Source organism: Homo sapiens, chromosome 2, assembly GCF_000001405.40.
Source record: "Homo sapiens chromosome 2, GRCh38.p14 Primary Assembly".
NCBI classification, from domain to species: Eukaryota; Metazoa; Chordata; class Mammalia; order Primates; family Hominidae; genus Homo; species Homo sapiens.
In genome coordinates, this window is record NC_000002.12 from 54,303,960 (window position 1) to 54,320,949 (window position 16,990).

Below are 16,990 nucleotides of genomic sequence, written 5' to 3' on the forward strand. Positions count from 1 at the left end.
GAAATATCTTGGGTAAGTGACCTAATGCATAAATTAGATGTGTGGATATCACTAATAAGATAAACCATTGCACTAAATAAGAAGAAAAATATTTCAGAGCATTCAACTTGTCCTTTAATGCAATCACTTTGTTAATATATGTGGTAAGAAACAGTATTTGAATAGATAAAAGTAGATGAGCATTTTTTCTTAATATTTTTCAAAAATTATGTTTCTTCTTTATTCTTTAAGTATGGATCTCTTTCATTATATATATGTCTGTGTGTGTGTGTGTGTGTGTGTGTGTGTGTAGAGATATATGTATCTCTCTATATACACATAAATACATGAAACATCTACCACGTGCTGAGTAATGAGGAAACAATAGTGAATTGTTTTTATTACTAAGCTCCTTATAAAAATATTTTGATCGTTTTGAGTATAAGAGCCAGGTAACAGTGGCCTTGGAGTGTTTTAAGTTGGCGGGTGGGGGAGATAACCCTAATATAAAATCATCAGGAATTGACTGTGCTTAATTTATTAGATTTTCTTCATCTGTATTTAATTATACATTATACTCTGTGGTATTCTTAGAGTGATATATACAATGTAAACAAATTTAAATATCACATATATGCAAAAATTACTTAGTAAAGGTAAACTCCCATTAATACCTACTGTGGGCTCATTTTAGCTGATCCATGTATACTTTGTATGCTAATTTTATTTATTTATCTGTTTTTTTATAGGAAGTCCTGGCTGAGCAAGGTTGGAAGCCCTAGTTCTCGCATTGACCGCACAAACTTTTCTAATGAAAAAACCATCTCTAAGCTTGAATACTCTAATTTTAGTATTAGATACTAATAGAAGAGAAAAATTGTAACACACTGAACAATAGATACTGTATGTTCTTAAGACTATGTATACTAGAATAATAGTAGCAGAGTAGGGTGAAAAGGAACTTTCTGTTCTGAAAGCTAAGCGACTGTACGTGCTACTAAAAATGTCTGACACTGAAATAATTTTACTCAACTATGTTTTCAACAAGCAAAAATATAGTATTCTAAGATTAAAATGTCATTACAAAATATTTAGTGTGAACATTTAATTTAAACTTGTCTCATGGAATCTTTAATTTCAATGAACATTACAGCATATATATGTTATTTGGCGAGACATCAAATAAAGTTAACCATTTAAAAATTATTTTCATATACTGTTGTCTATGTTGAATTATAAAATCCTCTGAATAATTTGTTACTACGGTTATTTGTTATTAAACTCTTCAAAAAGAACCAGTGATTAGAAATAAATGTGATGATCAATATAACCATAAAATATTATCAACAAAGAGTTTTAAAATTCTGGTTAATGTGAACATTATTTGGTTGGAGCTACTTTAATGCCTTCTATATTGTTGTGTGCAGTGAACATTCAGGCTGAATGATGGTGGCTAACAAGAACTCGCAATTTCAGTATAGCAAGCAGCAAGATTTTCAACCACCACCCACAATAGATGTCCTATTAACCAGAAAAGAAACCGAGAGTCTAAATGAATCCATACAATACTGTCCCCTAAACTTGGCCTATCTCTTGGGAAGCTTCACATGTAACTGATAAAGCAATGGAGAATTTAAAGGGGAAGGTTTTTTCTATAGCATAAAATGATAATGTTAAAAAAGGAAGACCTTTAATGAAAAACACTGGGGAATTTCAAGTGTTGTAGGCATATACTTGCACATATTCCATGATTTTCAAACTTTTTATATCAATGGAATCCTTCCTTAAACCAAAATTTTATATAGAATTGAATACGTAAGTTTTTAAAAAAAGCAAAAACAAAGCACAGCTGGTGAAAATAAAGTGGAGATGGGCGTCCCCAGAGCCTTGCATACTTGGTGTCCCTTTCTCTACTTGGACAGTTTCAAATACCTTGCTAGTACACTTTGAAAACTACTATTCTATCTAAGGAACAAATCTCTATTGCTATCCTCCATGGCCTGGAGAACGAATGCAGGCCTCTTTCTCTTCTACCTATGCAAGATAAGAAATGAGGAGAGATGAAGGGGGCGGGGGTGAGTTTGTTCATTGGAAAGGTTAACTCCTTGATGATAATATTGTTATCAAATGTATATAAAACAACACAACATTAGGGAATGACTTTCCAAATAAAGGACTAAAGAACTTTCCTATTATTCTAATACCATCATCATGTTAAGTATTACATGTTTCAAATGTCACGCAGGAGAAGCTATTGAGATGTTCTTTTGGATTTTGCTCTCCTTCTGTTTCCCCACTCCTGATTCAAGAAAGGTTGACAAGTCTTTGTGTTCCCTTATTTCAGGGGAAGCTTTGGGTGCCAGATCCCCCTGAAGACAACCTTTCTTCCAAAATTTCATTTTAAAGAGGGCATTATCCTGTGAGTTGAGGAGAAAGACAAATGCTGGGCTTTTAGGGGGTAAAAGAGAAGCAGAAGTTGTGAGAGCCAAAGAAGACAAGGAGATTATCCAAGACTTTGGAAAGGAACCAAAGGCTGTGGATTACCCAAGTCATGGAGACCTGCACCTTTCTCCCCAGTGGCACCTCTACCTATAGCTAAACCTGAAAGGGAAGCAGCTGTAGTTCCCAGAGAAGCTAGATCCCAGGCCCAGGGGCTTCCAGCATTAGCAGGATTCCTGTCCCCAAAAATGCTTCAAAGCATCCTACAAACACCAGGGTGGTTACAAGGGACCATGGTGGTTTGAACAGTGATCATAGCAATTGGTATGCGCTGGACACCGAGAGGTATTTCCTTAATGTTTTCTCTGCATATAACCCTTTGCATGCTGCTTCTGAGAGAGGGAACAAAGCACCAGGGATGACTAAGATATCCACCTCCAGACAGGATGAGGCTTGAAGCAGGCTCGCTTTGATTTGGAGAAAATAAAATAGACATTTTTTTCACCCACAAGTTTGAAAACAAAACCTCTATCTCTCCACACATAGAAAGGCTAAGTGATTGAAAAAAATGTATGATCTCAGAAGTGACACCAATATGTTACTTCTTATTATCCTGATATCCTTTGGTAGCTCCCTTCCCAGCTTTCTTCATAAGAAAATCACACTTCACTAGAACAATCTTCTAACTGCACAAAGTGAATCACACTAGTCAAGATTGCTTAATGATTAGTACATAACTAAATTCTATTACTTGATGAAAAATGTAGATAATGATTGAAAAATAGGTGTTCAGGAGTGGGTAGAAAGCAAGAGAAATCAGGATAAAGCAATATAAAAATATGTTATGGGGACCAGGTAACACATCTCAACGGTAAACTTGTCAAATTTCATGTTGAATTTACACAGTGAATTTTTAATTTACATACATTTTAGGTAACAAATTTTGATACATTTATTTGTATCAGAATTAGACATTTTAGAAACCAAGAAAAAATTAAGCAAAAACTGGATACCTACATTTCAGTGACTATCAACCTGCGATCTCAACACTCCATGTGCCCATGCTGTTCCCCTCAAGATGCAACATATCAGAATTAGGGGAGAAGTGTGATTTCTAAAATCATATTATTTTTCACACTTATACAAAAATATCTATCTTTTTGTTTTTGAGACAGGGTCTTGCTCTGTTGCCCAGGCTGGAGTGCAGTGGCATGATATTTGTTCACTGCAGCCTCGACTTCCTGGACTCAAGTGATCCTCTCACCTCTGCCTCCCAAGAAGCTAGGACTACAGGTGCATGCCACCACACTGGCTAATTTTTTTTGTAGAGACGAGGTCTCACTATGTTGCCCAGGCTGGTCTCAAACTCCTAGACTCGAGCGATCCCCCTGCCTCAGCCTTCCAAAGTGCTGGGATTACAGGCGCTCAGTGAGCCACTACCGTGCCCGGCCTTTTTTTTTTTTTTTTTTTTTTTTTTTTTTTTGAGACAGTCTCGCTCTGTTGCCAGGCTGGAGTGCAGTGGTGTGATCTCGGCTCACTGCAACCTCCAACTCCCGGGTTCAAGCGCTTCTCCTGCCTCAGTCTCCCAAGTAGCTGGGACTATGCGCACCACCATGCCCAGCTAATTTTTGTATTTTTAGTAGAGATGAGGTTTCACCATGTTGGCCAGGATGGTCTCGATCTCTTGACCTCGTGATCCACCCACCTCGGTCTCCCAAAGTGCTGGGATTACAGGCGTGAGCCACTGCGCCTGGCCAACATGCTGATTTTTTAAACTCAGGAAGTTCAGTAGAATCTCCTTGGCTGGAGAGAATGTGAAAAAAAAAAAAAAGGCTCTTTACTGGTGGGGCACATAGGAACAACGGTGGTGTAGGAGGAACGACAGGGGTGTAGGAGAGAAGTGAGATTTTTATCTGAGGAAGGGTGTGGGCCTCTCAGGTTGAGGAGAAGCAATGCAAGTTTCATCTGGTAGTGGGAATCTTTAAGTTCAGAGAGTACCCTCATGCCTGAAGAATGCGGCATAGCACCTCACGGTAGAAGGGCAGAAAACACTGAAGAAGGCACGAACAGGCAGTGGGTGGAGACAGGCAGCAGTATCGGTTAGTTTGACTTTGCTGCAAGCTGGTCACTATTTTTTATGACTAAGTATTTTTAACTTTGTCTACTGAAGGAATTTTTCAAAAGCATATATCAGTAAACTCATAATTAGGGACAACAGAAAAACAGAATTCACTTCAAAAAATTAGCTTGTATTTGAAAGTATACAGGCCACAAATGTATTTATACAGTAACTCTCCTTGGTTTCTGTTGATAAAAAAATGTTCTCTATTTGGTTAAAAGGAAACATTTTAATGTCTGGAACTAATTTCAGGAGCTGAAAACAGGCAGCATGGTATAGTAGACAATGCTCTGCTCTAGGAAGAAGACCTGCATTCTGGCCCAGGCCATCCACCGATTACCTGTGTGTCTCAGTTTCCTCAACTGCAAAGTCAAGAAGTTAGACTAAATCAGGATTTTGTACAGGATTCCACTGAGCCACAGGACTTCCACGGGGTGGTACTAGGAGGACTACAGAAAGGCAGTCAGAAAGAGAGGCAATTTGACCTTGGCCCAGGGCCCTGATCCCTGCTCTAATCAGAGCAGCTCCACCCCCATCTCTTCCATACATTAGGATTGTCCATAAGACATCTTTGGAGAAGAATTCTGCCTCAAAGAAATAAAAAAAAAAAAACACAAAGACACTGAATTTAGATCTAGGGTCTTCTTTTCTAAATGTCTATAAATGCTAAACTCAAATGCAGTTCCTATTCTCTTGATTACTTCTGTCAAGCCCATGTGGTATGTATACTTAACCTTAAGCTATTTCTGTTGAAAACATGCATAATTCATGAAAAGTACTATTGGAAAAAAATTCTTCTTCATAATGGCTTCCATAAAGGTGCACGGTGGCTAAGGTGGTTAAAATCTGTTTTGTTTTGTTTTTTGTCTGTCACCCAAGCTGGAGTACAGTGACATAGTAAGGGCTCACTGCAGCCTCAACCTCCTGGGCTCAAATAGCCCTCCTGCCTAAGCCTCCTGAGTAGCTGGGACTACAGGTGCCACCAGTAATCCAGCCTACTTCTTTTTAAGTTTTTTTGTAGAGACAGTGTCTTGCTATGTTGCCCAGGCTGGTCTCAAACTCCTGGCCTCAAGCAATTCTCCTGTCTTGGCTTCCCAAAGTGCTGGGATTATAGGTATGAGCTGCCATGCCCTGTCAGCTAAAATATTTCTGAAATTAATTTTCTGTTGTCTTTCATTCCTATTCTTATCTTACTGTGATTTAAAAAAGTGCAAGAGGAAATACACATATATAATTTGTGGGTTAATTAAAAAGTGTTTTTATAAGCATGTCTTGGAGATGTTAACCTAACATTTAGAATCATACATAAGAACTACTTTTCTTTTTCTTAACTGGTTCAAATGGTTTTGAATAAAACTGACATCTGAAAAAATTTTAAATTTTAGAATTAAAAATTCTAGTCACTGTGTGATCTCTTTAGCTGGTTTTTCTATAGAAATAGGGTGTTTTTTATTTGCCTTTTAGAGAGCCTGACTTATGCTTTATTCTCTGCTGGAAATATCAGTATACATTTTTGGTTGGATGTTCAAGGTCCTTCTTTCATCCTCAAACTACATTTTTCTTTGATTAGTGTTATTTTCCATGTTGGCAAAATGGACTTTGCAAGTAGCAGTGAATACAAGCCTGTAGTATAGCTTTTTCTCTCTCATTCCCATTTTCTACAAAAATTAGAAGACACCTAGAGAAAATGAGAAGGTGCAGGAGATTTATTGTATTGAAAATTTAGTGTTATTTCAAAACAATTATAAAGAGCAAGAATCATAGTCATTTCATCATTTGTTAACATCAAGGCAGAATTTCTACCAAATTCAGTGCAGATTAATCTGCATTAAAAATATGCCTGCAACGGTTAACCAGGACACTGACAAAGTGAGCAGACACTGCGTAATATTACATCAACCAGAAAAAAAAAATGGAGCAGAAATCATTCTACTCCTCAGGGATGATTTTCTGAGGCAGCAAAAGAAGAATCAACCATTCTCTCTTTTCCCACATCCCAACTACCCCTCCTTCTCCACTGAGTGGGCTAACATGACTCATAAGTCACAGCACATAGGAATGAGAAGGTCACAGGTACTGGCATAGCGGGTAGTCCCTTTTTTCAAAGCATGGAACTGGAGGCAAAGAAAAGAGCCTCAGTGGCAGAGCATGCTAGAAATTGCATTGAGAGATGCTAACAGCAATAACAGAACTATAAACAAAAGCAAGGGGGTGATTATCACAAAACAAGGATAATGGTTATTCTGGGTTAGGGGAAAGGGGTTGTGTTCCAGGACAGGTACATGAAGGCTTCCTCAACTAGCTGGTGGTCTTACTTTTCTCCACTTGAATGGTAGCTCCATAGGGGTTCACTTTATAATTATTTAAACTCTACAAAATATTTTATACATTTTTTGTATGTGTATTTCATAGTTTTTTTTAAACAAATGTTAAGGCTCCTAGAAATCTCATAGCAAAAAAAAAAAAAAAAAAAAAAAAAAACAAACCCTAAACACTGGATTACAGTAGATAGACCATTCTAAGGTGTTAGACCTGAGGAATACTCTCTATTGGCAAATGTCAGTGTATCACCAGTCTCCTCATTAAAAAATGAAGAAACAGGAAACAAAAGCCAGCCTTGCAATTCACAAAAAGCGCTATACAGCCCAAGGTAAAGGGTGCATTATGTTTTAAAATCAGAGGAAGTACATACCTCTAAAAATTACTACACAAAAAATATTTCAGGAAACACCTGCTGATGTCCATTGTATATCCTGAAATGCATACAATAAAAGTTGATCTCTGTGAAACAAGAGAAGGCAGCCTTTAGAAAGAAAACGTGCAGGTTAAAATAAAATATAAAGATGAAGGAATATTAGCTGAGATGTAAAGATCATAGTCTGAAGAACAGGCAACACACACACACACTTAAAGACAAACTGTGGAAAATACTAAAGAGAACAGAATTACAACCCATTCTGGAATTAGCAACTGATAAATTGAATTAGTGTATATAGAGCTGTGGCTGCCAAACCCAGCTGGTTTCAGAATTATCTGGGGAGCATTTTAAATATACTTCTTACCAAACCCCACCCTAGACCTAATGAATAAGGATCCTCCATGATTTTTGTCTCTAAATCTAAATGTTATTTTTTTTTAAAAAAAAAAGCCCCAAATGACTTTGACAATCAGGCAGGCTTAGAAAACAATGGTGTCGAGAATAAATTTTAAAAGCTCATCAGGAGAGTAGATGAAGGAACAAGAAATAAAAGTGTGAGAGGAGATAATTTGGAAGACAGAGTACATATCTAAAGCACCAATAAATCAATGATAGAAGTTCCTGGGGAAAAAGTCAGGATAACTGAAACAGAAGGAAAAACCAGCTATGACAGAAGAGAAATTTTCTTGAGTTAAAGTATATGGCCGCAAGGCTGGGCACGGTGGCTTATGCCTGAATCCCAACACTTTGGGAGGCTGAGACGCATGGCTCACCTGAGGTCAGGAGTTCAAGACCAGCCTGGCCAATGTGGTGAAACCCCGTCTCTACTAAAAATATAAAAATTAGCTGGGCATGGAGGTGGGAGCCTTTAGTCCCAGCTACCCAGGAGGCCAGGTCAGGAGAATGGCTTGAACCTGGGAGGTGGAGATTGCAGTGAGCTGAGATCGTGCCACTGCACTCCAGGCTGGGCGACAGAACAAGACTTCATCTCAAGAAACAAAACAAAAGAAAAATAAAGTATATGGCCATAAAGTAAACAGTACAGTATTAAATTATACAGTATAAACAAAAATGCTCTAGGCATTCCACCTCAAGAGGAACCTAACTTCTGCCCAGTAACTTTCTCTAATCCATTCACTCCCTGCCCTTTTAGACTGCCATTTCATGCTTGCTCCTCACTCCTCAAATCTCCATACCCTCTCCTTGACTCGACGTGACCTTACTTTCTACTTCCATCCGAAAGAACTTCCATGAGCACCGAGCATTGCATCTACCCACCTACCTCCATCTGTACCTCAGTTCTTCCTCTACCATCTTATTACCATAGATGAATTATTTATGATCCTAATTAAGGCAATGCCTGGATCCCATAACCTCAAGGACTCTGCTCCAGCAGTCTCCCCATCACTCCTCCATCATCAGTTTTTGTTTCCTACTGAATGCCTCTCTCCCCTCAAACATGCTATTATTTCTCCGTGTCTTGGCCCATCTGGCTACGGCGACATATTTCTTCTTTTACAGATGAAATCCTCAAAAAAGCTGTCTACACTTGCTGTGGTCTAACTCCTCCATTCTCCTTGAACCTGTTTCCCATCATGCTTTTGCTCTCCCACACCCACCAGTCTACCAGCTTCCTCTTCCCTAACAATTTCATTTCACGGCTGCTAACTCCGCTGACCAGTTGTCTGTCCTCCTCTTACTTAAACCTATCAGCACTTTTTTCACTTGGCTTCTTGGACATCACACTTTCTTGGGGTTCCGCTTTCCTCAGTATTCGCATCTTTTTAGTCTTTTCTGGTGATTTCTCCTCATCTCTAACTTCGTAATGTTGGAGAGCCACAGAGCTCAAGGCTCCAGACGTGCTCTCTCCTTCACCTATATTCATGCCTTTGGCAATATTATCCACCTCATAACTTTAAATACCACGTGCATGTTGACAACCCTAAACTTTACTTCTACCACTTAAGCTTATTCTCTCGACTCCAGATTCATTTAACCAACACCGTACTCAACATTTCCAATTGAACATCTAACAGGCATCTCAAATTTCAATGTTCTAAACTATGGCGCACTTCCCTCCTAAGCTGATGGCCCCTCCCACAGACCTCGCTGAGTAACGGCCCGTGACAGCCCACCTCAGCTGATGGCCCCTCCCACAATCTTCCCACCTCAGCTAATGGTCCCTCCTGCTGCCCCCCACCTCAGCTGACGGCCCCTCCCACAATCTTCCCACCTCAGCTGACGGACCCTCCCACAATCTTCCCACCTCAGCTGACGGACCCGCCCACAATCTTCCACCCTCAGCTGATGGCCCCTCCCACAGACTTCTCCACTTCAGTTTATTGTGAACACCCCAACTTTTGAGATGTTCAAGGCAAAAATTTTGAAGGTATCTTTACCTTTCTCTTGCATTCATGCCCCTGTTGTCTCTATCTTCAAATGTCCAGGATTTGCTTAAAAGTAATCCAGTGGGGTAGGGGGAAGAGTTGGGAGGAGAACGGGAGGGAAGATAGATGGAGGTATAGATGAAACAAGATTGAACATGAGTTGACAACTCATGTTCTAAAGTGGGTACATGGGGATTCATTAGACTATTCCCTATTCTTTTATGTTAATATTTTTATAATACAAAGTTATGTTGACTCTAACCATTTCTGATTACCTCTAAGGTGGCAGCACTGACCCCATCACCATCATTACTGTCACAGCCTTCTAACTAAACCCCTTGCCTCTGCCTCTGCCCTTCTTCCGTCTATTCAACACAGCACACATGTGATGCTGTTAAAACAGAAACCAGATCATGCCACACCCCAGCTCAAAACCTTCTCAGTGCAATCTATTTTACTCTCAGTAAAAGCCAAAATCATTACAATGGCCTACCAGGCCATGCACAATCTGGCCTCCCCTTATGTCTTTGGCCCCATCTCCTTCTACTCTCTCTCTTGCTGACTCTGCTCCAGCCACATGGAAATCCTTGTCCTTCCTTGACCATCTCAAGCAAGCTCTGCTCTTAGGCCTTTCCACTTATTTTTTTCTCTCACTTACATGCTCTTCTCCCGGATATCCACAGATATCACTCCTCCACTTCCTTCTGGTCTTTGGGTGAATGTCACTTTATCAGCAAGTCCTGCCCTGATCACCCTATTTAAATTGTCAAACATATACTCCCCAAACTCCCTATCTACTTTTCTCCTTTAGTTTCTCCATGGTACATATCACCATCTGATGAATATGTTTTACTTCTTTGTCTTTCATTCCAACGTAAGCTACACTGCGGCAGAAATTTTTATAAGAGTGCACCTTGCTACATCTGTAACACTGGTAACAGTGCATGAGCATAGGGAATGATCATTAGTATTTGTTGAATTAAATAAAAGAAATATTCCTCCAAGAGCTTAAGCTAAGATGACAGAAGTCAGACCCCATATTCATGATAAATTAGCAATGGTTAAAGTTATCCTATAATAATTCCTCACATAATCCAAGCATATGCTGATTACAATAAACAGATTTGAAAGTGACAAAAATGACTATCATCCATAATATAGTGACAAACCCTGGACTTAATCTTCTATGGTAAATAACTAGAATGTTCAACAAAATACATGGAACAATTGTTTTTGGACACAGGACAACAGCTAGCGCAAGACTGCGGTCCTTGAGAAAAGGGAAACAAAATAAAGAGCCCTACAATTGCCCTAGTTTTCTGGATACAGGCAATTTCCAAACGGCAGGAGCAGGAAAGGAGAATTAAAACAGTGCCTCCAAACTGCAGGAGCAAGAAAGGAGAATCCAAACAGTGCCTGGAGATGTTGCTGAAGAGACAGAAAATGGTGTTTAAAGAGACAATGGCAGCTGAAAATTGCCGGTTAGAATGCCAGAAGGAAAGAAGCTACACAGAAAAAAAAAGCTTCAGAAATATACACAGGGGTTCTTTTGAGTCTTTCCTGCATATTAGCCATGCGTATGTAGACTGAAATTCCACAAAGTTGTGCAAAGAATGCCTGGAGAACTGTAAAAAGAAGAAAATCTCACAGCTAACATGGAGCTAAGAGAAGTTCAAGCCAGAAGTAGATAGTGCTCAGTGACCATTCTAGATCCACCCTAGGAAAGATGAAAAATAGCACTTTAAGGTATCATACTGATTAATTGGTAACTGCTGGCCAAAACAAAGCACAACATTCTTTACAGAAAGATTTTTTTAAAATCTGGATTCTAAAGAATATTAAAAGTATCTAGCGTTAAATTTCTGAATGAAAAAACTGAAAACTAGCAATGTAGAATTCTATATCCATTGAGATATGAAAATGAAGACAAAATTTAAACTTTATCAGATAAACCAAATTTGGAAAAAATTGTCAGCAGAGCTGCACAAGAAATGTTATATGAAGTTCTTTCAATTGAGGGGAAATGACACCAGATGGAAACTCAGATTTACGTAAAGAAATAAAGAGTACTAGAAAGGGTACATATGGGAATAAATTAAGAAGACATTTTCTTCTCATTAAAGAAAATTTAAGACAGTAGACTCCTCACAACAAAAATAACAGCCATTTATTGATGGGCTTATAATACATACAAAAGCAGTATGCATGACAATAATACTGCAAATGATACGAGGGAGAAATCTAAGTATTCTGTGTAAGGGTCTTGCACTATACATAAAGTAGTATAATTTGAAGGTAGACTATAAGTTAAATTTCCACATTGTAAGCCTTAGAGCAATGACTTTTAAAAAAGCTATGTTCTATATCTGGATTTAGGTGAAGTTTACACAGGTAGGTGTGTGAGTTTGTGTGGATACACATATATATTTGTCAAAATTCATTAACTTATAATCTTAAAATAGGTACATTTTATTGTATGTGAATTCTACCTCAATAATGTTTGATTTTTTTTTTTTTGAAGTGGTCAGGCAGATTTGAAAAAGAACCAAATAAAATGTTTTAAATGTTTCAAAAAACATAAATGCTAAAGTTATAAACTTAGACATCATGTTAAACAGTAGATTAGATACAGCCAAAGAGAATATTAGTGAGCTGAAAACAAATTTATGAAAATTGCCAAAATACTATATAAACACTGAAAAATTGAAAGAAAGTAGAGACACAGAAGATAGAAGGAAAAGTCTTAAAAATGTCTTATCAAATTCTAAGAATTAAAGGGAAGAAAGAGGATAAGTAATCATGGTGATGACAGAAAATTCTGCAAAACTGACCCAAAAAACTAGAGTCTACACAGAGAGCACAACATATTCCAAGACAACACTTTTAAAATTCATGAACATGTTATAATAAAATTGTAGAGTTTAAATAACAAAGGTGAAATATTTAAAAGCAGCCAGAGAGAAAAGATAGATCACCAAACAGCAATTGGTTTTATAGCTGACTGTTCAACAGCAACAATGGAAGCCAGAAAAAAGTGGAATAATATCTTCAAGATCTTAATATAGAGTAACTATCAACCAGAACTGTCTTTTTAAAATGAGAGAGAAAAAAAGAATGAAGACATTTTTGGCAAACCAAAATCTGGTATTATAAGCCTGTGTATTTTGAGAAAAAGCAGAAAACAAAAGTGTGTATATGTGAGTCTTCATGGAAACTATATATAGTTTTACTCTCTGCAGCTTTTTGCATATAGTTTTGTGTGTACATGTAGTGTTACATATATGCATAAAAATGTATATTACATAGGATATAGAATACATAGAAAGAATTCCATATATGTACATAGAATTATGTTTCATATGGATATAGTCTAGGTATAAGTATACCTCTAAATAGCTCTACCAATAGAGCTTTCTGTAATAATAAAAAATGTTTTATATTTGGGCTAATACCATTGCCACTAGCCACAGGTGGCTATTAAGCCCTTGAAATGTGACCGAAATTTTTTGTTGTATTTAATTTTAATTAATTTAAACATAAACAGTTGCATGTGGCTAGTGACTACAATATAAGAAAGCACAGCTATAGACTGATGGTGGGAAATGGAAGCAAATCCATTGAAATTGGATGGTGATTGTCTCCAACTGGTAGAATTTTGCTTTATATCTATCTGTATTTATGCATTCCTTTTATAATATGAAAAAGCTTATTTAAAATTATGCATTATATTTCTAATTCCTAATTTGAAATAAGTCGTGATTTTACCAGAAAATTTTAGAATTAAACTTTAATAGTGTAGAAACTGAATTAGCACTTAATCCTTATAGTGTTTATCTCTGGATATTTTTATGCCAACAAAGAGTCTTGCAACGGAAACTTCATTTTTTTTAAGTTCTTTTTTCTTTTTTTGGTAGAGAAGAGGCATGTTGTCCAGGCTAATCTCAAACTCCTGGCTTCAAGCCATCCTCCTGCCTCAGCCTACCAAGGCATGAGACACCACACCCAGCCAGAAACCTCATTTTCATTTAAGTAAATCAGCTTTGAGTTTTCACATTAGAATAAAATCAGTAGTTTCTTTACAACAATATTTCTTTTGCACTGTGATGGATCTAGATAGGATTATTTGTAAAAAATGCAAGAAAAGATATTCTATCTCAGAGACATCATGGATTTATACTCTGAAAATATAAAAATAAGTTAAAATGTTGAAACTTTCACTCATTCATCTAATTGTATATCATAATTTTAAAAAAGACATCTTTGGGTTTGTGGTTGCATACAATTTAACAAATATTTTAATAAAGTAGAAAATAAAATTAATGGTTGAGATGAAGAAAGGATTTAATATTAGATTATTAAGAAATTGGGAGGACACACTATAAATTCTTCCAGTTTGCCTCTGACCTCCTTACCATCCCTCTCCCATACCAATTTGCTTGAATTTAGCAAGAGTAAGAATTATCTTAATGGGTCCCATTAGTGCCTACAATATGCAGTCTGCATAATACATTTGAGACATCAGCATTCTGGTATTTAGGCTGTAGCTTAACTCGGATTTTAAAAAGAATGCCAATGTTCCATTCATTGTTTCACCCATTGTTTGAAAACAGAGTGGGGAAAAAAAATGAGCTATTTTCAAATGTCAGCAAACCCTGGTAACTGTAAATGTTCAGAGCTGTCAATCCATGGCACATCACAGAGGTTTAATTCAGCAGTACGTGTATAAGCAAGTATCACTGCCAGCCATGAGTTCAGACTACTAATACAAGTTTAATTTCTACTCTGCACATCCTTTAGTACTACAAGTATCACTACATTTAAAAAATTCACCATATGCAAGGACAAAACTTGGGTATGTTAAAGCTCTCTTCATTTGATTACATTTCAAAGTATCACTCTGAGATATTACAAAACAGATCATTTTCATGATAATCATGTTTTTCCAAACCATAACATGCATTGTTTTTTAAGTGGAAGACTTAAATGCTAGCTGTCCTTAAGTAGCCCACAATTTGACTGAGACACAAGATAGTCACAAACACACATCTAGAGTAAAATTCTAAGGTAATAAACAAATGATGCCATGGTACTATAATCTGTGTGGTGTTAACCCTAAAATTAAGGGTCAATATTGTGTGTTGCCTTGACATCTGGCTTGATTGGGAGGGCCTCAAATGGTTTTCCTGAAGTTCCCTTGCCCCCAACTCTGTTCCCATGAAAAAGGTTCCCTACCCAAACAACCCTCCCTGCTTATCACTAAATTCAGTTCCTTACCAGCCGACAGAATTATTTAAATAAGCCAATCACGTCCTTCGGCGAAAAGTGCGGGTCATCCCATTTTCTTGATACCACACAGCCTGCTTCCCACAGCCTCTGGTTCCTCATTCTCTTTTCTAGTGCAATCCCCACGTGGCCCTGCATGGCATGGCGTCCTCTTGTCCTTGGCTGTTAGTATGCGTGACTAATAAACTGCTGCCAATCACATCTGTTCAGTGTCAGATGTCATGAGTTTAACCATTCCCCTAATGCTAGGGCAGGAATCTCTCCATCATCAGCAGGGTGAATAGGGGGTGATTAAAACAGGATGTACCTCATAATACTGTAAGAAGTGTAGTTTTAGAAAAAGACCCTTATGATGGCTGTCTGAAAAGGTTTTGTGAAAGAGGTTGGTCTGGATGGAGATTAGTATTAGGATCTTACTTCTGGGATTCTCTGCTGAAGGAGCATATAGACAAGAAATGATGACAAAATAGTCAACAAAACACTGATTTCATTAGCTAGACAAAGACCCATTGCAATAATAAAAACTTTAGTAAAAACTAGATTACAGAAATTGATTTAGGATAGGAGGCCAAAGTGAACTCTCTTATTTCTTATACTCTCTGCCTTGAAGTCTATACCCTCCCTCCAAACAGTTGCATGATTATGGATGACTGGTCCATCAGCTCCAAGGTGCAGGTAGGACAGAGAGAGTTGAGATGAGGAAGCCAGCTAAGGCAGGCCCTGCCTGCTTCATGCAAACCCTGGACACAGGAAGTGAGAAAGGGCAAGGTTGTATACCATCCCTGAGCACAGACTTTAATACAACGAACGTGGTCCCAATCAAAATCTTCTTCTAACAATCTGATTAGCAAGTTCGTTCTCCAGCGGAATGAAAGTGGGTAAAGAGAAGGATGCCAGAAATGAAGTGACAGTTTCCTTCTAATCCATGAACTAAGGCAAAAATAACTCCATTCCCCACAAATAGGACAGAATATATTCCAGCAAAGTTAATTAGATCAACAAACAGAGTAAAATAGAAATGAGGAATGTCTGTGGAAAACCAAAGTACAGTTTGGAGCAAGGAATCCAAATTGTGGAGGTGTGAAACCAATGGAACCAGTGTTAAGATATTCATATTTTTTTGAGTGTGTGAAATCCAAAGCCAGAAAAGAGCTAAACAACCACCCAAGAAAAGAACATGAAGTCTCATCAAAAAGATGAAATCTTTTTTGCCTATCACCAACATCTCAGGATACCCTAGGTAAGTCCAGTCTCTGACACTCGTAACTTCCAGTGAACAATTCCAGAAGCAGGGGGATACCAGTGGGCTGGAGAGGAAGAGAGGGGTCTGTATAAAACTTAACGAGATGCTTTTGCCATTCATTCAGGAAATATCTACTGAGAATCCGCCAGGTACCAGGTACTATGCGTGGGGCTAGGCAAAACAGAGAGGAGTAAAGACAATCTCAACTTCTAAAATACTTATAATCTGATGAAAATACTGATGGATAAGAAGTCAATGAGCACTTGCTATGTGCCAGACAGTATACTATGGACCACCTTATTTTTACTCTCACGAAAACTCTGTGAGGAAGGCAGGTGCTATAATTATTATTTTATAGATAAGGAAATATCAGAAAGATACAACTTGCTCAAGGTCATGCAGCAAAGAAGCGGCTCCAACTCCAGAGCCCAGCTTGTAACTATTATGCTATATAGTCCTTCAAATAGTGAATGAGAAGCAAAGAGAATATTCACAATAGGAAGGAAAATTCAGGTCTATCTATATTCAGTTCAGAAAAAAAGACAAAGAATCTAAGTGTAAAAATGTTCATAGAGAAGGTAAAAATAAAAAGTTTAAAGAGTAGTAGCCAGAAGAAGTAACATAAGCCTCACGTTACTATATAAGAATATAAAGTGATAGAAGATAATAAGCTTGGAATATAACCCCACGAAATACGCCCAAGATAAATTTAAATAACTTAAGTTTCTACTACTTAAGTAACTTCAAGCATTCATTAGGAAAATAACATACTTAGAATCATTATATTTTACACTAGTGAGTTTTTCTGCTCTCATCCAAATTAATCAAACCACAATCAAGTT

At 37.6% G+C, this 16,990-nt stretch overlaps 1 protein-coding gene across 5 annotated transcripts in view; it reads left to right on the forward strand.

Annotated features, from left to right (window-relative positions):
* ACYP2 (acylphosphatase 2) overlaps positions 1 to 1,341 on the forward strand; it is a 334,188-nt gene extending 332,847 nt beyond the window's left edge. For all 5 annotated transcript variants that reach the window (NM_001320586.2, NM_001320587.2, NM_001320589.2 and 2 more), the window contains one exon: positions 729 to 1,341. In NM_001320586.2, the coding sequence (NP_001307515.1) occupies positions 729 to 843 (115 nt within the window). In that variant the 3' untranslated portion in view covers positions 844 to 1,341. The remainder of the gene's footprint in view (positions 1 to 728) is intronic.
* The last annotated feature ends 15,649 nt before the right edge of the window (positions 1,342 to 16,990 follow it).